This window comes from Homo sapiens, chromosome 1 (assembly GCF_000001405.40).
Source record: "Homo sapiens chromosome 1, GRCh38.p14 Primary Assembly".
NCBI classification, from domain to species: Eukaryota; Metazoa; Chordata; class Mammalia; order Primates; family Hominidae; genus Homo; species Homo sapiens.
Window position 1 is genome coordinate 172,334,789 of NC_000001.11, and position 26,327 is coordinate 172,361,115.

General features: G+C 36.7%; 1 protein-coding gene across 16 annotated transcripts in view, besides 3 other annotated features; it reads left to right on the forward strand.

Annotated features, from left to right (window-relative positions):
• The window catches only part of DNM3 (dynamin 3), a 576,969-nt gene that overhangs the window by 493,291 nt on the left and 57,351 nt on the right, over positions 1 to 26,327 (forward strand). The gene's annotated exons all lie outside the window — the stretch shown is intronic.
• Positions 7,876 to 7,985: an enhancer, noted in NCBI's record as "active region_2089". NCBI's record gives its function as "activates an Ori minimal core promoter by ATAC-STARR-seq in GM12878 lymphoblastoid cells {active_cell/tissue: GM12878}" and the evidence as "EXISTENCE:reporter gene assay evidence [ECO:0000049][PMID:35858748]".
• Positions 24,026 to 24,105: an enhancer, noted in NCBI's record as "active region_2090". NCBI's record gives its function as "activates an Ori minimal core promoter by ATAC-STARR-seq in GM12878 lymphoblastoid cells {active_cell/tissue: GM12878}" and the evidence as "EXISTENCE:reporter gene assay evidence [ECO:0000049][PMID:35858748]".
• Positions 25,586 to 26,212: an enhancer, noted in NCBI's record as "OCT4-NANOG-H3K27ac hESC enhancer chr1:172329514-172330140 (GRCh37/hg19 assembly coordinates)". NCBI's record gives its function as "activates a minimal SCP1, AML or CMV promoter by ChIP-STARR-seq in naive H9 embryonic stem cells {active_cell/tissue: H9 hESC(naive)}" and the evidence as "EXISTENCE:reporter gene assay evidence [ECO:0000049][PMID:30033119]".

Sequence of the window (26,327 nt, forward strand, 5' to 3'; positions counted from 1 at the left end):
GTCAAGGACTGTGCATGTTACAAAGAATTGCCTTAACCCACACTTTTTTGTGAACATATGTCTTTCACTAAATAAAAAAAAACTAATTTTTATAAATTTGGGTAACTTTTATGTGCTTCCTCTAAAAGCCTGTTTCAAAATTGGAATTCCACAAAAACAGAAAAAAGTAAAATATTTCTGTATTTGAGCAAGAGAACAAGATACAAAAATAGACTCAGTAAGGAACAGTTAAAATCTGAGTCTTTATCAGGAAAAACTTTTCTAATTTTCCAACCTTAAAATCATAATTCTTTCCTTTCCATGTGGCCCAATAACTTGACTCATGGATTGTCAAGCAGAAACTTTTTTGACCAGGGTATGCAATGAATTGTCTGCCAATCAAGATTTTTTTAAAGTCACTTTTATACAGATAAGACAGTCGAAGCTAAACCCAAAGATTCAGCTATCCACATCAATTTGCTCAGCCCATTTAGAGGTAGAGTTTTTCGGGGATAAAGGCATAAACTTTTACACTTTGATTTTCTTCAAATATGACAAAATTACTGAAATCAATGATAGAAGCCAAGTCTTATGAAAGCTATTAAAAATTTTACATTTCCAATTCATGTGAAGTGCTGAGAGGGTTATAATTATGATGAATTATAGAAGTATAAAAAAGCATAAAATGTATAATATTATTTATAGAATACAAGACACATGCTTTCATATGTTCATTGCAGCATTATTCACAAATAGAAAGAAGATATGGAATCAACCTAGGTGCCTATCAATGGCATACCACATTTTCTTTGTCCATATATGCCATGGAATACCATGTGGCCATAAAAAAGAGTGACATCATGTCCTTTGCAGCAACATGGATGCAGCTGGAGGCTATCATCCTAATCAAATTAACACAGAAACAGAAAACCAAATACCACATGTTCTCACTTATAAGTGGGAGCTAAACACTGAGTACACATGGATATACAGAAGACAACAGTAGACACTGGGGACTACTGGATAGGGGAGGGAAAGAGGGGACGTGGACTGAAAAATTACTTTTTGGGTACTATGCTCAGTACCTGGGTGACAGGATCATTTGGACCCCAAACCTCAGCATCACATAATATACTCATGTAACAAACCTGCACGTTTACCCCCTGAATCCAAAATAAAAGTTGAAGTCAAAAAGTCAAAAAAAGAAGGGAAAGAGAATACAAATATCACATCTGAGAGTGGTAAACATCCACATTTTAGCTTGAATTTAGCAATGTCTAAAGACATATTTGATTGTCACAGCCGGGTTGGGGGTGCTACTATCTAGTGGGTATAGGCCAGAGATGCTGCTAAACACCCTATAAGGCACAGGACAGCCCCCCACACAAAGAATGATCCGTCTAAAATGTCAGTAGTACTGCTGTTGAGAATCTCCATTTTAGAGAGAAAGAGCATGAAGCTTAGCAAAGTTAGCAAACTGGCCAAAGGTCACACATCTAATAAGTGAACGCATCAGGATTTGATTAAACCCAGGGTTAAGTCTAGCGTTAATGCACTTTCTAATGTTTATACTCAATTTCAACCTAATTTATTATTGTATACAAATTTAGAATAAACATCTTTATGCATAATTTCTCATCTACATTTCTGATTATTTCCTTAGGGTAGATTTATAGAAGAGAAAAGTGTCACAGGAAATACACAATTAAAGGTTTTCTATAATTATAATTTATATATATAAATTTTATAATTTATATATTACATTTTTAAAAATTATTACTACAAATTATAAAGTTTTGATTCATGTCATCAGTTTACTTTCCTTAAATCTAGAGCTGGTTCACATTCCTGATATCTTACCTAATCACAGCCTACAATGTTTTCTTTTACCTTCTTATTTAATCCTTGGCAGTTTGATCGTGTCTTTACCTTTAAAAAAAAAAAAAAAAGTCCCTCCTCTCAGATAGTCTTCTTTAACTGCAACTGCACACCTATTGACTCTAATTAGAGGGATAAGGGAATGCAGAGTTTTAAAGTGCCAGTCAGAGCTCAAATCCCAGCTCTGCTGCTAACTAGTTGGGTGACTTTGTGCAAGTGACTCTGATCCTCTCTCCTCATTCATTAAATGGAGCTTGATGACAATCTACCTCACGAGGACTAAATGAGTTAATATTTGTGAAATATGTAGAATAGTGCAAGGAACAAACTTAATTCTCAAAATGTATTGGCTATCTTCCAATGTATCGGCTATCATTATTTTTTGTACTTGCATGATGTTTTCATCTTTGTCAAAGTGCCTTCTGTGATTCTGGAACCAATAGTTTTTCTGACTCCCAATGTTATCCTCATTCTCCAAATATCACCCCTTTTCCAAGCTTACCATTTACCAAGGACTTTACTATTTAATAAGGCCCTGATAGGCATCATTAGGGCTACCTATTGCTGAGTTATTTATGGCCTGGCTTTTACATTCAGAATTTGTTTGTGGCCTGGCATCTTATTCCAGTCTTCCCTAAACACTGTATTTTCATATACCCTACTACTAAACCAGTTCCACAGAGATTACAGATTACACATCTCAGTCGTTCTCTGCTGTTATATTTTCTTAGATGAACATTCTCTATAGCAGTGCTTCCCAAAGTATGCTCAGACTATTTAAAAAGAAGAGAAGAAGATTCCATTATCCAAAACATTTAAGTTACATTGTGTTCTGCATCTCCCTTCTGGTGATACACAAAGTATATTAGCATTTTAAAGTATTTGAGAAAAACAGGGATAAAGAAACATGTAAAAGTTTTTAACACCGTAATTCCTGAATTTATTTGATCAAATAACACACTTTTTAAGAAAATCACACCTGTCACCATCTTGTAGAATAGTATCAATGTTCAGTTGGGAACACTGTTGAAGAATAGGGAAGAGACCATGAGTGTCCACTAGCTCAAGTTTTCTCAAAGTGGGCCATCTGCCTTGCATCAGACATAGCCAAGTTGCTAATTAAAAATGCAAACTCCTGGGCTAATCCCAAGTCTTCTGAATTGGAATATCTGGGAATATGGCTTGGGAGTATTCATTTTATTTTATTTTATTTTATTTTATTTTTATTTTATTTTATTTTATTTTATTTTATTTTATTTTATTTTATTTTATTTTATTTTATTATTTTGAGACAGAGTCTGGCTTTTGTCCCCTAGGCTGGAGTGCAATGGTGCAATCTTGGCTCACTGCAACCTCCACCTCCCAGGTTCAAGCGATTCTCATGCCTCAGCCTCCCAAGTAGCTGGGACCACAGGCGCCCGCCACCAAGCCCGGCTGATTTTTGTATTTTTAGTAGAGACGGGGTTTCATCATGTTGGCCAGGCTGGTCTCGAACTCCTGACCTGGTGATCCACCTGCCTCAGCCTCCCAAAGTGCTGGGATTACAGGCGTGAGCCACTGCACCCCGCCTGGGAGTATTCATTTTAAACAAACTGCCAGAGTAATTTTGATAACCTCTAAAGTTTTGAAATTACTGTGCTAGGTACTAACAGCAGCCAGAGTGTAAATTACAAAAGCTATGACTATTTTCCTTCCGTTACCATTGAGGAGAATTTTTAAACCCATAGCCTTTGATTTTACTGTGAAGCACATTGATGTAATAGTGAGAATCATGCCCTAAGTCTGGGTTTACCAGAAATTCAGCTTTCGAATCACATCCTTCCCAAGTCCCTGTCAGCTGTGAGCAATAGCAAATCATTTTTCCAGTAGCTTAGGAGCCTGTGAATGGATTCTGTTCACAGCTTTAACACTGATGGTGGGGAGTCATTCCATTTCCTCATTGAAAACGACTGTTGGCAATCCCCAGGCTGGAAGGATGATATAGAGAAGCCTAGTGCATTTCTCTGTGGCACAGGATCAGAGCAGCCACAGCCCACCAGGTGCGCCCTGAGAGCTCATATTAACTCACTCTTTTCTGTATATTTGTTTGTTCAAAGAAGTCATTACCATATCTCTTTGTACTTTTCTGCTAAGTAGCTCTGAAAACTTTCAGGGAGTTTTTCAGATGAACCTAAGTGTATAATCAATCCTTCATTATGGTTTTAAATCCAGAATGAAAGTGCATCTGAACTTGACACACGTAAATAGTAGAAAGTTTGTTTGTGCAGGTGTATAGTTTTAGTTTTCTTTCTTTTAACATTCTTGCTTTTTAGAATTATTCTACTAAATAATATTAACTTGTTCAAAGGTGTATTCACAGTTTCTCTTGATCATGATGTTCATTGACATTTGGTTTTCTAAATAAAAAAGAAAGTTTGATTACTATTGAAGAAAAGTTGGGGGGAACATCTCACTGTGAAATATTTGGTCGTATTTTGATATGTTAAGTTGTTGCTTTTCAATGTGTAAAAAGCTTTTCCTCTTGGGATTATTTTACAGTCTACCTCTAACTAAATTTCATTCCTGACTTCTCAGTGTATTGAATGCTTGCATCTGCCACACTTGGGGGAAGGAAGCACCATGAAAATGCTGTTCTTGAAAATTTTTACCCAACTTCAAACTGTGTTACCTTTTTATTTCTGTTTATTTTCTCACCAATATGTTTCTAGAACATTCACATTAGCTCATATCACCTTAGCAACCTCATCTCTGTCAAACACCTTTGCCCTTGCCCTGGCCTCATTATCAGCATTAGCCAGTCAGTCACCTGTTTGGGAACCAAGGGCTCCTCAAAATCGTGCAGTTTGAAATAGATTTTGTCATGCTATGCTTACGGGCCAAAGCACCCAGAGGTGTAACAAACACTTGGTGTTTAGCTATATTTTAGGGCAACAGATTCCGAATCTTCCCCCAGCTTGGGGATTCAGTGTGTCTGCCTAGATCTTCCTGAGTCACCTCCCAGTTGATATGTGAAAGAAGCCTACAAGCCCACCGTCTTTCATATATCCTCCCTGCTTGTCCTGCCTGTTGGAGTTTGATGTCATTTATTGCTTCTCTCACCTCACATCAGTTCTGTTCAACAATTTTTTATTGAGCACCTGCTAGGTGCTAAGAATAAAAGATTACTAAGTCAGTCATGATTTCTGTTCTTAAGGAGCTCACTATAGAACAGAAGTTTACAATAGAGGGTGATAGAAAGGTGTGCTCAGGGTTCACTGGGTCATAATGCATGACACCTGATTTGTGAGGTCAGGTGTGGTGGGACATATGCCTGGACAATAGGCAAGGAGTCCAATCACTAAAGATAGTATACTTCATCCAGTGCCATCAAGAAGCTATGAAAGGTCAGAGTGGTGTTTTAGATTGTGCAATCTAGCAGCTGTATGAAGAATGGATTTAGTGGGAGCCAGAAGTAGTACTAGTTAAGGAGAGCCAAGGAGAGTCATAGTATTTAAGGAGAGAGGTGGCAAGGACCTGAACCAAGGAGAGTTTTAAGGAATAGATGATGATGCAAATGAAAACTGTGCCCCTTCCCAATCTTTTGGGTTAGATTCCTTCTGGGAATTTAGGATGTAATCAGAATCAGATGTAGGTCAACATATTCCCTTGTATTATAAATGTAGGTTGACAGCCTCTACTCCATGGAAGCAGCACCGCTCTGTCCCCATTGCTGGTCTCAGTTTCTGTTTCCATAGGAGAAGCACTACTTGGTCCGCATAGCTGGTCCTAACTTCAGTTTCTGTCTCCCATACTGGTCCCCTGCCTAGCTCCCACTGGTCTGCTTTACAAGATCACCATTGAGGTTTATGCTGACCATTCTTAGGAGCTTTTCCTGATGGGTCACTGACAAACATGGTGCATTCACTATGAACTTTACGATCTTCATGACACAAAGTGAAGAATAAATTAGAATAAATTGTGTTAAGCACATTTCATTGATTCATGGAGTAGAATTTCCCTTCACTAAATCAATGCAATGAGACATTTCAGTTGGGGAAGGGGGAAGCAGAGACTATGGTGTTTTCTAGATAGACTATGGGGTTTTCAGAATTATGTCATCTGCAAACAGGGACAGTATGACTTCCTCTTCCTATTTGGATATCTTTTATTTCTTTCTCTTGCCTGATAGCTCTGGCCAAGACTTCCAATACTGTGTTGAATAGGAGTTGGGAGAGAGGGCATTCTTGTCTTCTGCTGGTTTTCAGGGAAGTGCTTCCAGCTTTTGTCCATTCAGTATGTTGTTGACTGTGGGTTGGTCAGAGATGGCTCTTATTATTGAAATATGTGCCATCAATGCCTAGTAAACCCCATAGTCTCTGCCCAAAAGCTCCTTGAGCTGATAAGCAACTTCAGCAAAGTTTCAGGATACAAAATCAACATACAAAAATCAGTATTCCCACACCAACAACATCCAAGCCAAGAGCCAAATCAGGAAATCAATCCCATTCACAGCTGCCACAAAAAGAATAAAATACCTAGGAATACAACTAACCAGGGAGGTGAAAGATCTCTACAATGAGAATTACAAAACACTGCTAAAAGGAATCAGAGATGACACAAGAAAATGGAAGCAAATTCCATACTTATGGATAGGAATAATCAATATCATTAAAATGGCCATACTGCCTAAAGCAATTTGTAGACTCAATGCTATTCCTATTAAACTACCAGTAGTATTCTTCACAGAATTGGAAAAATCTAGTATAAAATTCAGATAAACCAAAAATGATCCTGAATAGCCAAGGCCATCCTAAGCAAAAAGAATAAAGCTGGATGCATCATGTTACCCAACTTCAAGCTATACTGCAGGGCTACAGTCATCAAAACGGCATTGTACTGGTACAAAAACAGACGTATAGACTAATGGAACAGAATAGAGAGCCCAGAAATAATGCTGCACACCTTCAGCCATCTAATTTTCAACAAAGCTGATAAAAGCATTGGGGAAAGGACTCCCTATTCCCTAACTGGACCTAGGATAACTGGCTAGCTATATGCAGAAGATTGAAATTGGGCCCCTTCTTTCACCATAAACGAAAATTAACTCAAGATGGATTAAAGACCTAAATGTAAAATCTATAAGTATAAAAACCCTGGAAGATAACTTAGGCGATACCATTCTGGACATAGGAATTTGCAAATATTTCCTGACGAAGACGCCAAAAGCAATTGCAATAAAACCAAACCAGTGTCTATAAGGAACTTCTTAAACAAATTTACAAGCAAAAACCAAACAATCCCATTAAAAAGTACACAAAGGACACACACAGACACTTCTCAAAAGAAGATACATCCAGCCAATAAGCATATGAAAAAATGTTCAACATCACTAATCATTAGAGAAGAGAAATTCAAATCAAAACCAAAATGAGATAGCATCTCATACCAGTCAGTATGGCTACTATTAAAAAAATAAAAAAATAGCAGATGGTGGCGAGGTTGCAGAGAAAAGGGAATGTTCATACACTGATGGTGGGAATGTAAATTAGTTCAACCATTGTGGAAAGCAGTGTGGCGTTTCCTCAAAGAATAAAAACAGAATTACAATTTGACCCAGCAATTCCATTATTGGTTACAGGCCCAAAGGAATATAAATTGTTCTACCATAAGGACACATGCATGCATATGTTCCTTGCAGCACTATTCATGATAGCAAAGATATGGAATTAACCTAAATGCTCATCAGTGGTAGACTAGATAAAGAAAATGTAGTATATATACACCATAAAATACTCTGCGGCCATTAAAAAGAACAAGATTATGTCCTTTGCAGCAACATGGATGAAGCTAGAGACCATTATCGTTAGCAAATGAACACAGGAACAGAAAACCAAATATTACATGTTTTCATTTATAAGTGAGAGTCAAATAATGAGAACAAGTGACCCAAGGAGAGAAACAACAGACACTGGGGCCTATTTGAGGGTGGAGAGTGGGAGGAGAGAAAGGATCAGAAAAATACCTATTGTTGGTACACCAAACCCCCATGACATGAGCTTACCTATGTAACAAACTTGCATGTGTACCCCTGAACCTAAAATAAAAGTTAAAGGGAAAAAAAAGTAAACATGTTGTAGAAGTCACAATCTATGACAGTCTTGTTCTTTGCCTTCTCCATTGCTTCTTAGTAATCTGTAAAGCTATTGTTTCTGATATGAGTCAGTTTCTTTGTCCTTCCCTTTTACATTTCCTCTTTTTTTCTTACCTTTTTTGAGGGATCCTAAGAGAGCGTTTTAGAATGGGGAATTCTTAAAGAAACCTGCAAAATATATTTTCTCCATTATGTTAAACTCCATAGCAATAAACTTGGTTTAATGCGGTCAGTTTTATCACAGATCAGGCCTCCCTAAGGCGAAGGAGCTAAGCCAGTAATTTGGGAAGGCTTTGAAGCCACATGTGCATGTATACATTAACCTCTAAGACTAACCATAATTTCAATTAACATAAAATAATCTAAAGACATGCTGATTAGACACCGTGTGGCTTTAACAAAGCATTCTGGGCAGGGGGTTGGGGAATAGAGAAGCTTTAACTATTCCTAGCACCAGCAAGCAGGGCTTTCTTTAATCATTTATAACATATTTTCTCAACCTTTTTTTCTTGCGATGTTCTTAGAGACTAAAAACAACAAAATTCCAAAAGCTTTTACTAATTAAAAAGAGAGGAACTGAAACTGTTATAGATTATGTCAGTGAAATCCACTTTAAAAAAAAAAAGTAAAATTCCAGCTGTCCTTTAAAGTATATGATTTACACCATATTCCAGTAAATTGATGCAGGCCGATAACTTTTCATTCATTTCTCTTGTGTGTCTTGTGGGGCATACTTAGAGCAGTCAGTTCTCCTAGGGACAAAGCAGGAAGACTAACTCGAGCCCATGTTGCTTTTTATGATATGTGGTTTTGAGTTTCAGAGGAGTCGAGTGCAGTGTGAATCATAGAAGCAGCCAGCTGAAAAATCCTCAACCCTATAACAAAAAGCAGATTTTTTCCCATATTTCTTCCAAGTTTTTATTTCACATGCAAGTCTGAGATACAAAATATTCTGTAAAATTTTAAGGAAGCCACAGTAGTTCTTACTGTTTGGGGATTTCCCGGAGAGAATAATCGTGTTCAGAATGGTCCTTTTTTTTGCCAAAAGGTTTATTATGTGAACTGAACGGCTCAACCAAACAGATAACACCATCTCCATTTTATTTTTACATGTTATTTACTGGGGTTTCCCTGAAGAAAGCTTAAGAATTCTTTCCCCATGAGTCACTGACCAAGTAATTGTTTTTTTAAAATATAAACTTTCCTTCAGCTGGTCAATTTGGAACGCAGTCTTCTCATCTTCTGTTCACTTCAGGGCTGCTTTGCCTTCATCTGTAAATGATCACGTCTACAGCCAAATTGAGCAGCTCGAATGTAGCCAATTTCTTTCCATTGAGCACTCAAGTTTGAAAAATCAACAGCCCGGCCAGGCAAGATTCAGAGGACTTCATCCTCTGAAAGTGACTTACATAATTATATTTTCATTGCGTTGGCAAAAAATGCCTCTCATTGGTTTAATTTCTGCTGGAATTAATGGGATGAGGAATTGCAACCATATTTTGCCAAGAATTGTGAGTGGTTGCTCTGCCCAGGTTATGTTACCCTTTTACTGTTGTGAGTGGGTTAGAAGGTATTGTCTTCTATTCTCGTCTTCTTATTGAACTAGAGGCTGTAATTATTTCCCTTGGTAGTGGCTGAACTTTCTCTTTAAATATTGACACCTTCACAAATGTGTTAAAACAAGCGTTAAAGTTGGCTTTTTCCCCACGAAAATGGCCCTATAATTGCAATCTTCTATTCTGAAGGAGAAATGTTGTTTTACAGAATATTTCTGAACCCCTTCCCACCCACTTTCCCAGTGGCTATAAGAAGCCTGCTGTTGCCAACTGAGTGGTCTAGAGTCCCTGCTAATTACCTCCTTCCACAGCTTTTGATTTGGAGCCGAACTGATGGCGCCAGCGGCTGAACCACAGTCAGATCTACAGGCCTCTGATTTGCCAAATGGAATCTATGCAGTTTGTTTCCTTTCTCACAGTGTTTTATGATGAGACTCAGCTCAAACTCGAAATAGACGAGGAATCACTTCAAAATATTAATGGTTGATTTGAATTTTGAAGAAAAATAGCCATCAGAATTCTATATTCCATTACCAACATACATGTATATGTGTACATGTGCTCACAAAAAAAATCACAAAATGTGTTTTTCTAAAGAAGCATTCTATTAATTGTATTCCATTAAGCATACTAGTACCAAAAGCTTTCAGAATACTTCATATTTTATAGCCTTATAAAAGTTTTATTCTATCTGTTGATCATTAATATGTAGGGTCTCATGTCCACATCAGATGTGCCTAGAGTTTTTCTCTAAACTGGCATTCTTTTAAAATATAGCTTGGAAAAGAAAACATAATTATAATCATAGAGGGAATAAGAATTGTCTTTCTCGAAAGTTCAGAGGCATTAGCCTGAAACCCTAACAGTTAGTTGAGAGTTTCTGTTTCTCATTTCATAGAAAGGAATTAAACAAAAAGCTTTAGTTTCATCACAGTTAAAAATATTTAGTTCTCAAAACATATTTTCTCAGCTGTGTCTTGCTTTCTTATTTGAGGTTTCTTCAGAAAGGGAAACTGATTATATTAGAGACAATAATGTTGGAAGACAAAACAGTTCTCAGCCAAGTGAGAATGAAGGGCTTCCTAAGTGAACTACTCCCTTCTCTCCTTATTAATTTGGCTCCAAAGTCAAGCACATCAAAATGGAAAGTAGTTCTCATTCTTTTTATTGATGTGAAGTCAAAAATTCTGCATAATTTTAAAGAGCAGATAATCTAAATCACACATACATATACATACATACACATATGCACACACACTGTTATCCATTAGAACAAGTCTTCTTTATCAAATACCTGACTTTTAAGTGTATTTGTGCCACTTGATTTACTTATTCATTATATAGACATTTAGTTAGCACCTTCCATGTGTCCAGCATCATGCTTGATTCTGGGCATGAAATAGTCCCTGTTCCCAGGGTTCCCAGTTTAGGGGGAGACTGATAAGAAAATAATTTCATATCACCTTGTAACATAACTGCTATCATCGTTATGTTAGGAGGTGGAGATGAGAGGTACCTAAATTACATTTTCCTAACAAGCAAAGATGTAGATTAGCAGCCGGGCGGATCACGAGGTCAGGAAATCGAGACCGTCCTGGCTAACGCAGTGAAACCCAGTCTCTACTAAAAATACAAAAAAATTAGCCGGGCGTGCTTGTGGGCGTGGTTGTAGTCCCAGTTACTCAGGAGGCTGAGGCAGGAGAATGGCGTGAACCTGGGAGGCGGAGCTTGCAGTGAGCCGAGATCGTGCCACTGCATTCCAGCCTGGGCGACAGAGCGAGACTCCGTCTCAAAAAAAAAAAAAAAAAAAAGAAAGAAAGAAAAAGATGTAGATTAGCAAATGCTTTGAAGAGAAAGTGACTTTTGAATGGTCACTTCAAAAGTAAGAATCAGGAAGAAAGCTATGGAAAAGAGAATGCATCCCAGACAGAGTAACAGTATAAGTAAAAATTCAGAGAAATGAGAGTTTATTGGCGTAACTGAAGGTCCATAGCTATGGCTGCATGAAGTGCATGTGAAGGTGTACAGTGAAGACTGAGGGGCCAGGGAGGTAGACAGAGAGCAAATCGTGCTGGGCCTTGTATGCCAAGGGCTGGAAGACTTTATCTGAAGAGCACTGTGGAATCAGTGAAGACATTTAAACATGGGATCATCTTTATATTTTAGTAAGAGTGTTATACTAGGAGTGAGTAAGTATATTAGGATGTAGGACTGACGACTAAGATACTGTTGCAATAGGTAATAAATGTTGAAATTGGGATAGACAGACTTCTGTTTTAAACAGAAGGACAAATCAGACACCCTCATGGACATATACACATATTTATAGTTTAAATGATGAAGAAAATAGATCAAATTTGTATTAAATGCACTACCAAAATGAATTAAAAGGAAAGAATCCATAGAAGCCAGAAAATGACACGAAAGCAGGAAACTAAAGCACTGGTTTCCATCCTGAGGATTTCACCCAAATTTTTGAGATCTTGTGCCTCCATCATGGTGGCCAAATAATGCCTGGCAAACAGGTGTAAAGCTTAGTACATTCCAAGTTCCAAAGACTCCTAACAGGAGCCTGTCACACAGGCTGGGACTGGAAAAAACTGTATCCTGGTCTAAGAATATACTAAAAATAAAACCAATGTCCAGAAGAATGCAGCCAGGAAATTATATTGTATTGACCTTGGCACTAAATAAAAGGGGAGTGATGGGTGGTGATCTGCCTTTAAACTGCATAGCCACAAGTTTGCCCCCATTTGAATGTAAGGTCTGAATTCACACTACATGTGTGTTTGAGCATCTCAAACCTCAAGTACAGAATTTAATTTTCCTGGGTTAGTACCACCCTCAGAGGAACTAGCAGAAGCCCCCCCCGCCAAAAAAAATTATTTCCTCTCTGTAAAAATGCAAATTCGACCCAGGCCTTAACTCCCCAAGATAGAGTTCTAAGGAAAATGAATAGCTTACAAAGAACAAAGGAAGGAAGGACATAGGAAATAAACCACTACTGAGAATAGGAGAAACAACAGGCTGTGAAATCAGACCTTCAGAGATGAGATATTTACAATTTTGGAGTTACTAGGTACAGAAATAAAAAGTTGTTTAATATGTTTAGAAATAAAGAGGCTTTAAGTATGAGAAGAAAAGATCAAGCAGATTGGGGGAATGACTTCTAGAAATAAAATATAATCACTGCAATGAAAAATTCAATTAAAAGTGTCAAGGAATCAGATTAGATATAGCTGAACAGAGAATTAGTAAACTGGAAAATCTGTAGTGATATGAATACACTGACCAGAATAAAGTCCAAGCCAGAATAAAATCCGAAAGAAAAGGATTGAGATCACAGATTGTGTTAGATGAGTTCTAACATGTTCTAATCAAAGTTCTAGAAGGAAATAGTAGAATGGGGAAACACAGTATTCAAAGACGACTAACAGAACGTTCATAACAGCACTGTTTGTAATAGTGAAAAACCTGGAAATAATCTAAATGGCCATTAGTGGAAGGGCAAATTAGTAAATTGTAGTATATTTACACATTGGAGTATTATATAGCATCCCAAACAAGTGAACTCCAGTACATTCAATGGTATGCATGAATTGGCAATATAGGTAAAAGAAAATTATATATAATATATTCTTTTTTATGAAACTAAAAATAACTGATAAAAATAACTCTTTAAGACTAAATATAGATGCAATAAAACCATAATAAAAGGAAAGTAAGGGAATGATAATTATTCTCACTGATAGTTACTTTGAGTGGGAGAGGCAGGGGGCTGAGTTGGCAGATGGTATTACATGATACTGTATGAACAGATGCAGACGAAAGTGTGCCATGAACCAAGGATTATAGTTAATCCAATTCCGTATACTAAAAGTACATTGAGGAGGTAGGAGGAGAGAGAGAGGTTGAGAATTTTCTAAAATTGTTGAAGTCTAACAATTCTTAGAATCAGGAAATAAAACAATTCTCAAATAGGATTTTTAAGAAATGATACATAATAAGTAACAACAAGACACATCATAGTGAAACTACAGAACACCAAAGAAAAAAAGATCCTAAAAGAAGCCAGAAAGCTAGGTCACCTACAAAGGAGTGGAATTAGACGGACTGCTGATTAGTTTAACCTGTACAATATCGTTCAACAGATGAGTGGTAGAGCCAGGATTCAGATCCATATCTTCTGATTCCTATGCCTATGTTCCTTCTAATACTCCACCAAAATTTTTCACACATTTATGTACAGAGTATTTTGTGTACTGAAATAAATGTAAACCAAAAAAGTAATGGAAAGAAGAAACCCAATAAAAAGAAAAGTTAGTGTTACCTAACATATGAAAAATTTGGTAAAATTTACATGTATTTAGGTACAAAAGAGACAAGGGAATTAGCATTTGTTAAATTCCTAAATATGTGCCAGGAATAGTTCTGGTGCTTTAAAAAAAATCTCATTCAGTTATCATAACAAATATTTCTGAGCTAGAGTTCTTATTTCCATTTTGTGGTGGAAAAGACTAAGGCTTGGAGAGATTACATGATTTACCCAATTTCAAAAGTTAGTAAATGGTAAATTCAAATTCTGAAAAGGTGCAGCCAGTCCCACCTGACCCATCGTCTTCCCAGTAGCATTGTCAGTAAACGAATAATGTAATTTATATTACCTAAGGTGTCCTAAACAGAGCACCTTCTCTGGCAACCTTCTGAGACCACCACCCCCAGTGTCAGGGGTTATTGCCCTCAGAGACATGTCCAGGAATATTAGTTTTTCCTTTGCACTTCTCTAGGCTTCTTTCCCACTTGGATGCTCTACAGATTCCTACACCACATTTGCTCATCCATTTAAAGTGCTATATACTGACTATTTTCTAATGGTTTTAGGGTTTTGAATCCTTGCTATTACACTTACTCGAAAAATTACTAAATCCATTTGCACCTCAACTTCCTCATGTGTAAACTGGGATAATAACACACCTTTTGAGGATTCTCGAAATGATTAGCTGAGAAAATGAAATCCATAAAGCTATTAGTTCAGTCGCTGGCACTTGAAAGTTTTCAGTAAGTGACTACTGCTGCCATTATTAGATCCTTTGCAGGTACAGAGACAGCTTTTATAGTCAGAGGGAATTCATTTTGTCTCCTAGTTTGCCTAAGAATAAGTGATCCATCTTTATTTATTCTACTGATTGTGATCTGACATAGTCTTGGACCTAGTTATTATTAATTTTAGCATATGTTAATAAGAAAATAATTATAAAATATCCTGTTCTGAATTTCATTTCAAGATAATGTGAATATAGCAATACATGATCAAATATCTATTTTCTAAATTGAGATTTTAAAAATTCCCAAACTTCATCCCCTGAGTTGAATTCACTAGAATGAAATAAATGAAGACAATGTTCACTAAGCTTCTAAAGAATCCACATGTTAATTGGATCAGTTTGCCCAAAGACTATTTTTGCCTTTAGGATTTATTATTCTGAATTAAGTCATTATATGGTTGAGTGATTATGTAAAAAATCATATTATTTATACAATGATATGTGAAGAGGATTACTATAATGCAAGAGGTTAAAAACATAGAAGCACCAAGCCCTCATGTATATAGAAAACTCATGCTAAGGCCAGAAGAAGCAGAAGGAGAGTCAGAAGAAATATACCAAAGTGGTAAACATGTATGCTGTGCTATGTGTGCCCACATAATACATAGGAAATGCTAAATTGGTATCGATTTCTGAAAATAAAAATGCCTGTTCTTTTTTCAAATTATGCAATCCTGATAAGCCTACTAGGCATATACATATATATCCTTTTAACTAATCACGTTATCATTTTTTTCCAACAAAGAATATAATAAATGAAAGTCACCTTCTGGGTGATTAGTGGCAGTTGACTTGGAGTTTCAGCCCTTCCTCAGGACTTTTTGGCATAGTAATAACATTGCAAAGTTGCTCACATTTTTCATACCCTTCCATTTTATCTTGTGTGTGTGTGTGTGTGTGTGTGTGTGTTTGTGTGTCTTGTATGTGGAATATTCTTACAGCTAGTGACTTAATATGCTGATGAACACAGAGAGCTGGATTTTTTTTGCAAACCAATATTTTTGTGCCATTTGATTATTTAGGTGATATTCAGCCTTTTCAAAGATTACTTAACTGTCGTGGTATCACTACAGAGGAAGAAAGGAAATTCTGTAGTTAGTTTAGGAGAAAACGTAACGTAAAACAATTCTTCAAGGAACCTAGCAATGCAATAAAGTATCTAGATAATCTTTTAGAATATCAGAGCCTGGGGTATGCTAATGAAATCATGGGAGAAGAAAAAAGCTCCAGTTCTCACTCACATTAAAAGTGCTCTCTTTTACACAAGACACAATTCATAAAATCTTTTTATATCAGCAGGGAACTCATCTATCTGTATATACATGGAGGCAGGCAGCTGTTAACAGCATAGCATGACACTGCTGAACAGTTCAGGATGCAGGATAAGGAATATCATTCTATCATTCCCAACTGAAACAACATCAGAAAATGTAGACAGGCTAAATAGAATTATCCAAAATGGAGCCTGTCTGAAATTCCAAGTCTCCCAGAGACAAAAGTACTATTCACCTCTTCTTCCTTTCTATGGCTGAAATTCATTTGCATCCACTGACATCCTTTAAATTATTACCCTCCTGGGAAAGTCTGCAACCCTTGTAGAACACTTATAAACATTCAGTTGTTTCTGATCAGACCTGTGTTGTTTGTAGTTCTCCTGACTCATATTTTAGTATCTTAGGAAGGAAAATTTAGTGCCACAAATGTTTACCATCTATATTCTCTTGGTTTCTGAGACTTCCCATGGCAATTAAAAAAATTTAGATATTACACCTTTTGCTTCAAAGGTCATAATTCCAGAAGTATGACTCTTATCTGACCTTTTAGAATGATAAATCTAAGAAATTTTTGTGTTCCAGAGAATGAATACACAAAATGGGAACTAGTGAGTTCCAAAGCTTCTGCTATAGAATAATTGATGGTTTTCTCCAAATATTTGTTAAAATTTTAATATAATAAATACTAGGATTTTTTAAAGTAAACTTTTTTAGCAATAAGAATTTAGCACTTCCAAAGCAGCCACATGGTCTGTTGCCCAGGACTCCCTTAAAAATTGCTTTGCTGAGGCTGTTCAACATCTGTCAGCATTTTCTGCATAAACCATTGGCTCAAAAAAATTCTTCAGGCTGAAACTTGATATATCAGGTCTCAGCTTAGCAGTTTTTATGTGTTTTCAGGAAAATAAGTTTGGATGTTTTCAAGTTAGTGCTAGAGGAGAAACACATTCTAATACACCATTTCAAGACACCCTTTTATTTTATACATGGGTGAAAGGAAAACAGACTTCTACCCAACTAAAATGGACAGAAAATATCTAAACAATTGTTGTGAAGTTTTCTTCACACTGTATTGCTAAACAGGATGTCTTTATTGGAGCTATGTGACTACATTCTTCATAGAATGGCATATGGAACTCTGCCCAGCTTTAATGCCAGAGGTCAGAATGTGCCCACCTCCTGGCAGCTGAGGATGAATGGCTTAAGTGACAAATTCCGATCCGTCAGCTTCCCAGATCATTGAACAGCCAAAGGAGACTAATACAATAAACAACAGTTTGCCAAAAGGCATCATGATCCACTGGTGGATTGTGGTTTTACACAGCTTCAACATACATTATCCTGACGTCTAAAATTACATCTCAGAGTACAGCTGTGTGTGTAATACTGGACTTCATTCCACTGGATGATCCCATGTTGTCCACTTACAACAGGAATGCACTTTTGAACCTAGAGCTGTCACTACAAATCTCACTGTGAGTGTTAAGAATTCATGAAGAAATTCCAATTTATTGATTTGCAAGGATTTGCCTATGAAGGTAGAGAGATTGTATCTTAAAATTGCCATTCCATTAAAGGCTAAAAAAGTCATTTCAATGACTAAAGTTCTTATATCTTTTAGTTGACTATTTGTAAAGTGAACTTTTTTTTTCTTTTTATATGAGTGTTAACTGGAAATAGGCAAGGAATGAGCAGGACTTTAACATTCTAGTCCTCTGTGTCAGCTGTCTGTGTTACAGAATTTATTTGAACTATAGAGTCCCTAAATCACTACAGCATAAGCCTCAGGGAAAATAAAAACTCAAAAATGTATAAACAAACTATACTAAAATTGAGCTACTGAGCACCTTAGTATACTTGCTTCCCTTTAGTTAACGTATTTTCACCAACAAGGGTGTGTCTTTCAAGGCTATCTGGAGTATACCTGTGGTTTTAGAAATACCAAGTGACTCACCTCCAGTAGTTACAGTGGTAAGGAAAAAGTTGTTACCTCTTTCCTTTGGTGATTCTGGTGCACATTTGGAAGATACAGCTCAAAGCAATCAATACCCTGGGCCTCTGGCTTCTAATATATTAATGTCTGCTCTCTGGAAGACCCATATGCACCACCTGCCCTCTGAATCCTGAGTGATCCAGATCCTTTGGAGGACTTAAGTAAATAAAAATTAAGAGCAAAACAAATGGTCTTGAAAATCCTTTCCAATAGACACAAGCAAACACAATAGGGATCTGATCATTTCACTTTCCTAAATTTTCTGTTTCCCCATTCAGCACAGTGGAGGAGGACCTCTGAGATTACTCTTCTTTTTCAAATCCCCACCTCAAGGTATTCTCCTCACACTTCCGCCACCCACATACACCCCTGATGCTCCATCCACCAAGCAGCCATATCCACAGGCCACAGGTGCACCATCCTCTGCCCTGTTTCTGCACCTTTGCATGTGTAGTTCCTCCTGCCTGCAAGATGCTGTCATTTATTCTATACCGGATGAACATCTTCCTACCCATCAAAACCCAGATCACTCTCTGATACATTCTTTCTGCATTCCATGGAATATATAGATTTGACTGTTACTGGTTTATAATCAAATTTGTCATCTTTCTTCACAATAGTCCTAAGGTTTATGCCAGTCTTGTCCCTGTCTCACTAATAATGAAATTAAGATTTGTAGATATAAAATAATATGACACATATTAAAAGCACTCAGAAAGCTAAGGGTTTTTCTTCAGAGCTTTTATTCATTTTTGTATCTAATGTTGAAAACAAGTAAAAATATATACAGAAGAGCCCCTAGCTGAAATGTATTCATATGGCCCCCTGACCTAATCACAGATTCTTCTATTTCAACAGAACTTTCTTCCTCACAGATATAAGAAAATGTCCCACTTTTCCTGATTGATTTGTGCTTATTGATTACTGAACTTAGAGCTCGGAAACTTGAATTTTCATTTTATGAACGCTCTCAATTTATTGTATGGCCTTGGAAAAATTATGAAACCTTTTTGACTCTTAGCTTTTGAAAAAGCAAATAATAAGTCTACTTATATCATGAAGCTGGTCTAAAGTTCAAAACAAACTATATAAGTGAAACAACTTGAAAACTGTATGCCTCTACATTCATACAAAGTATATATTCATATTTATATGACTAGTGTACAGTATTATTATCAGTATCAAAGAAAACTAAAAGTCTACAGTATATGGAGCCCAAATAAAATTTGGCCAAAAAGAGTGCTTAGGATGTAAACTGCTTTCAGTTTCAACCTTTGATTCCACTTACTCGTGGTTCACGGAGAGCTTTGTAAGGATCAGTAACTTCTCCGAAATAGGTAATAATAGTGCTAACTGGGAGGTATTTAGGACATAAAGGTGTTGGGGTGTGTGTGTGTGTGTGTGTGTGTGAGAGAGAGAGAGAGAGAGAGAGAGAGAGAAATAAGACATTTTTGCTAAAGAATATCTGAAGAAAAAAAAGGCCAAGGACAAAATGTTGTAGAAAAAACCGGGTTCTTGAGTTCTTGTCTCTTGACCAGGAAGAGTTAGTCACGCAGACACTCTGAAGGATGAGAGAGAACAGAATTTATTGGGAGAAAAGGAAAAAATTCTCAGCAAAGTGAGAGGGGTTCCTGTTAACAGGCCCCCATTTCACAGATTGAATCCTGGTTTATCACACAGAAATAGGAGAGGCCAGGCTCCTCCCCACTGCAAATAGCACCAACTTCCCAAGGCTGCACCCTGTCCTCTCAGTGCTCAGGCTGGTGGGAGATTCTCTGGGGACTTTCCCCCTTATCTTCCTCCTGCTTCTATCACAATGAGAAATCTCAAATCTTTATTATTCTAACCTGTAATAAGTCCACAAAGACATGTAGAGTTTGATTTCTAGTGGTTTTTTTTAGACTGGCTATCTTGACTTCAAAATATCTAGGAATATTAAGGACAATGTGACAATTGCTCTTTTAAATTCCTGACTGAGCACACAGGAGGATGAGAAATTCCTGGGTAAGAAAATAAAAAGGGAGCTGGAAAGCAGAGGGCCTATGGTGAAGCCACAGCTGTCCTTGGGGCATTTGCTATCACTGCACACAAGAGCTTTGGATGTACTTAGACATATGGAGATAGGAGAAAATACTTCAGCCCGAAAAAATTGGGGAATTGGAACCAAGACCCCTACAGTAAGCCAGGACACTTAAAAAGCTACACCTTCAGTGAAAATGGTGAATCAAGAAAAATCCGCTTGCCGTTAAAAGGAGAAAATGAGGAAAGTTATTTGTCTCGGCTTGCACTGTGAATGGAAGGAGAGAAAAGTCTTTGAGAATCCATTTGTATAGGTTCCTCATTCTGTAATTTGAGATTCAAATATGTATCACTTACATGCGCAAGCAGAACCAAAGCTGAGAAATTAAAGTGGACCAAAGTTGGAAGCAGTTCTGGGAGCCTGTAGAAACATAAATACTCTCTGGAGCAACACACCCTCAAATCAGATCTAATAGAAGCCCAGCTAAACTTGAATACACAATCCAACATTTAAAAGGACACACACACACACACAAAGCCATCATGAGTAAGTCAAGAGAATAACAAACAGTAGGAAAGATTTTGGACTATATTTAAAAAATTTAAAGAAATAAAAGAGCAAATGACAAATTTGAGAAAGGAACACTTTCTAAAGACAAGTCATATTTTTAAAATAGCCAAATAGAACTTGAAAAATGAAGTGCAGTTATTGAAATTAAAATTTTATGAATAGATTAAACAGCTGGAGAGAGACTACATAAAATAGGTTCTACACAGTGGTGTGCTGATAGATGTTTAATAAGTAGCTGTCCAGGATGGGGGAAAGCCCTGTTCTGTAGCATTTGCTAATTTCCATGGTGTGAATGCTCCCACCATTGGTAGTCAATTTTAAGCTACCAATGTGACGTAGTGAACTGGAAAGAGACGTGTACAGTTGGTTCTCATGAGCTGGTATAAACCAGCTCCTATACACGATTGGATATATAACTGAATAAATTACCTAGAATGTAACACAGAAAGATGGAAAGATAGGAATGTATATAGGACACGAAGGACAGGCTGTGAAGATCTAATATATGTTTAATCATCATTCTAGAGGAGAATAGGAGAATGACTAAAATGTTTCCAGAACTGATGAAAGTCATGAATTCTAAGATCTAGGAAGACCACAGATAACATCCAGACATACATTATAATGAAATTGCAGAGCACCAAAGCCAAAGAGATAACCATAAAAGCATCCAGAGAAAAAATATATCAACTACTAAAGAACAACAGTTCAGACTTCTTAAGAGCAAAAGTGGAAACCAGAAATAATGGAATCATCTTCAAAGTACAGAGGGAAACACTGCCAAGCTACAGCTGAATACCTAGTTAAAGGATTATTTTAAAGTGAGGCCTAATAAAGACACTTTCAGGCAGCAAAAACAGTTTGCCATCAAAGATAAAAGGAACGAAACGAAAAAATGTACTTTAGGAAGAAGGAAAATGATCCAGAAGGAACATGGACAAAGAAGTGGGTAAACATTTAGGTAAATCTAAGCCAATATTAAAACAACAAGAATAATAGTAATGTATGGTGATTAAAAGCCATCTGAACAGTTTTATTTTCTCACAAATACTAAACAGCACTTAATTTAATTACATTGCCATGTAGAAGTTTTAACCATATTTTGTTCATTTTTGACTTATAAAACAATCAGGAAAAAACAGTAAACATTGTTATATAAGATTTACTTATTTTAATCCAAGTTACACTTTGCTAAACATACTGAAAATTTGACGGGGTTTTAAATTTGTAATGAAAGAGCCATAGACTCCTCAGAATTTTTTTTTTAATTGTGTTGATCTTGCACATTCTATTATGATTCCAGGTCATTACCTAAGCAAGGATTTCCAATTTAGGCTGAGCTGGGAAAGACATTATTATATTAAAGTTTATGGTTATGAAAACTGTACCCCCACAACACTGGAAGTACAGGACCTTTGTTTCTCTCCACCCACATGCTGGTGACTTTTTACCACTAGGAGAGTTATGTACTCACTGTGACTCACAGAAAAAGATAAGGTTACTTTATACTATCTCTCAATAAATGGAGCCAAGGATCCTTGGAGAAATTCCAGGACTGGGGCAGAGAAAGTACAAGATGAGCCTGGAATGTCTCATGATGCTAGAAAGTAAGGAAGTGCTCAAAACCTTATGGGGATATATGTGAAAAAGATACAAGAGGCAAATTACAGGAGGCTCCCAATGACTAAATCTGGGACAATTTCAGAAATAAAATAATGACAGTAATGGATTATAATCCATAGAATAAAATAAGAATCCATACTTACATAAATAAACAGTTGAATGAGTAATTATATGAAGGAGAAGGGAAAGCTGTTCCTCATAATTAATTAATTTAGAAGAGAAGATCAAAATTTAAAAATCACCATTTGCAAAACATCACAGTAATAGTTTCTCTTAAGAATCATCAATGGATGTTAAAATGAGTAGGTAAAAGTATGATGAGAAACAGGATATTCACATAGCCTCAAATATCACCCGCAAGATACTTATTAATTTCAAAGGAGAAAAAATAGAAACTTTACAGTGGAGAAACCTGGAAGACACCATCTTAACCAAATGATCAAAGTTAACATCACTAGTAATGAGACAGATCGACATCACATGTCTCCTGATGTAATGCACTGAGAAAGACACACCATTTATGTGGCGTGTTTTTGCTAAAAATGCACAACCTGAAATTAATAACGAGGAAACATCAAATTGAAGGACACTGTACAAAATAACTGGTCAATACTGTACAAAATTATTAGGGTCATAAAAGATGAAAAAAGACTGAGGTATTGCTCCAAATTAAAGGAGACTAAAGAGGCATAACTAAATGTAATACATGATTGAGGATTAGATCCTGGGTCATAGTATTACAATGTCAATTTCCTTATCTTGATCATTGTTGTGTAGTTTTGTAAGATACTAACATTCGAAGAATCTGGGTGAAGGATGTACAGGAATTCTTTGTATTAATTTTCAACCTTTTAATAAGACAAATTATTTCAAGATGAAAATTATTTTACAAATCAAAGATAGTGTTAATGATAGCTTCCTTAGACCTCTCCATCCTCCCATATTCTAAGAAAGGCCATTTATATGTTACCTCCAGTTCTGTCCACAGACATCAATGCATGGCTTCAGGAAAAGTGGGCCAAGTGCAATGCTGAACAGGAAGGAAACAGTTTGAGTCTGAAGCACAAGGTTCCTACTGTGCTGAATCAGTGTGGTAGAGGCTATTAAAATGCCATCTTTTCCTACCTCCCACTCCTCTCCTTCTTCTGCCTTCATACCCTACATCCCAGACCGCTTTTAATCCTATTGGGAGGGTATACAGAGAGAAATAAAGAAAAAATAATAATGAATGGCTGTGTTCTTTGGCACATGAATAGCAGTTTCCCTTTCGGGACTTCAAGAATAAAAAATGAGAGGCTTTAAATCTTGCTAACTTGTGCAAGAATGTGCGCGTGTGTATATGTGTGTGTGCGTAGGTAAAAATGTAAATGACCACTATGGAAAGAACAATGCTAGCTTTTAAAATCTACTAAAGTAAAAGAAATAATTATTCCTGAATAAGGTATGTCAAACACCAGTGGGAAGAAAGAAGAGCGGGTTATTTTGTTTAGAGCTGGATGAATTAGGAAAATCCCTTTTTACAGCTAACTCAGAGATGAGCTGTTGTTGCCAAGATGTGGTTTATCAAACATCTAGGCTATCTCACAGGATGTGAGTTGGTTTAGCTTTGTAAAATAGCTCTATTTTTATTTTAGCCAAATCTCTACAAGACTCTCAGTCAGCTCCCTCCCCCACCAGAATGAAACAGCAACAACAGCAGTGAAACCTGACTGAAACAGCAGAGTAAATGTTGGCCAGAAGCCTGCTGTGATCCAGCCTGGCTTTTAGAAGGAGTCTCTCTCAGTTTGATTCATTGCTTCTCACAAGCCAGCTCCAGACTGCTTTTCTTGAGATAAAATAAGTTGTAGAAGTATAAAGGGAATGTTGCCACTGGTAATTCTTTTTACTTAAGATAATAAAAAGCACATAAAATTTCCATGCTCATATTTGACTCCTTTCCGGGTCTCCCTTCCTGATTCTAACACACTGTGGAAATGGTGCAAGGAAAAAAAAGCCACAGACAGAGTAGTCGGTATGATTTCAGACCACATGACTCATTACTTGTGCTTCTTTCTGGAGCAGTCTGTTTTCTGTGAGCTGGCTTCACTCTGGTTAATCACTTAGCATGGTGAGATTTCACCTGGTTGCCCCTCTGGTGGCTCAGACGGGGCCTGGGGCATCACTGAATTTATACTGAAAATCAGATGGGCATCTGAACAACTCCCACAAAACACACACACACACACACACACACACACACACACACATTTAATCAGCATCAAGTAGTGCAGTTTCCTTTCTAAGTGATGGGAGCTGCTGGCTGTTGTTTTTGGCTTGAGGCCGCATAGACCAGCCAGCCGTTGTGTAAGCATGGTCTGTCTGAATTGCTTTGGGGCTGTCTTCTTAGAAATCTTCTTGCTGTTCATTATTTTGCCAGCAAGCCATAACTATTACTTTTTTTTTAGATTCCTCAATCTATGTTTTCTCTACTGTAAGATAGTAAAATGTAGAGAATCAGGGAGCCCTATAAATCTTGAAGATTTTTTTTGTCTTAATTTCTTTAATTTGAGATTGGCATTTAAAACCATTGTAGAACTTGTGAACTTGCTAAGTTTAAACTACAATTTGGAGTAGGGAGTAATAACCAAACTGTTCTTCTCATGTTGTTTTAAAAGCTTCTGGTGTATATGCCTTTTTATTTTTTACTCATCATACAGTCTATTCAGAAAAATAAAAAAAAAAAAACCTTAAGTAGCTCTTGGCAGAAGGTCAAAACCAGCATTTCAGGGAAGGTATTTAAAAGTCTTTTAAGTGTGGGCTATTTGTATAAGCAATATCTGCACGTTTCTTATGACTGGGAAGGACTATTTTCACAGTCTTTCATGGAAATATTTCTAGACAATTTTCTGCGGCTCTTTTCCCTGAGCTCATTTATTTGCTTTTGCTTCAGAACACAGCATTTTAATGAGCAGTTTTATGAGCCTAACCTGCGTTCTGCAAGCTCCACATGACTGGATTCCTGTTGCACATAACCTTTGCCCTATTTTCCATTAAAACACAAGACTTTCCTATAATCAACTGTATACTATGACCTTGGAGGAAAAAAATGCAACAGATAGTTTAGTCTACTATTTAGTCTACTTTAGCACACTAAAATTGATTTTTTTAAAAAAATTAGTTGTTTCCTTATAATTTTTAAAAGTGTACATATTAGTATTTTCATCACAAATTTATTTTGTAAGATGCCTAATTCAATATTACCATATCCCTCTGGGTAAATAACTCATTTAGCTATCTTTATAATCCACTGAGGGATGTACAAAGGTAAGATGAACCCCAAATCAATTTGGAATTATGAACATTCAAAACAAAATAAAATGCAAAGTTTTCTATCTCCACTTGGTCTTACATATAATAATAGGTGTCAGGAAGTTCCTTCTTATAGCAAAGCTAAATCATCATCTGATGCATTTTGACTCCTCTTTGTGCTTTAATTCAAATGTAAAACAACTATTTTTCACTTTATAGATAGTATCCTACTATTTTTATATAGAATAACTTTCTCTTGTATACCCTGAGACATCCAAATTTGTTTACTTTTACTTCCAGTATTTTAATCCGTTTTCTTAATATCTGCTAAATATTCAAGCTCTCCCTTTCATTTGAGCAGTAGAGCCTCAGGCAAAATGCAGAGCCCCTGCAAGGGTCTAACAAGTGCTAAGAACAATGGAGCTATTGTTGTGTAACACACCCAGCTCCCCTCTGGATCATGCATTCCAGCCATGTTTGCCTTTTAAAACTACACTATGGATTTAAGGTAGTCTGCGGTTGCTTGTAACACCTTTGCTCTTTTTCTGCCCTGCTTACTTTAGCCAATCTGTCCTCATCTTATAATTCTGTTTACATTTTCTTCTTAGGACAAGGAAGGCACTCTTTAAAACAGAGTGCAGTAAGTTTAGGGCAAATGAAAGGAAATCTACTTCACATAGCAGGTTATAAACTTGTGGAACTCATTAGTCCCAAAAGGTGGGACTGGCAGGAAATGTAAATGAATTCAGAAATCTTTTAGCCAGATTTATGAATGAGAGCCACAAATGGCTACTAAGAAAACTGGGGCTATACCTGACTTTTACAACAGAAGTCAGAGAACAGCTTTGAGCTCCCGCACAGGATGACTCTTGAGACTTATTGGGGTGGCTGACCTTGGGTCTGGCCCACTA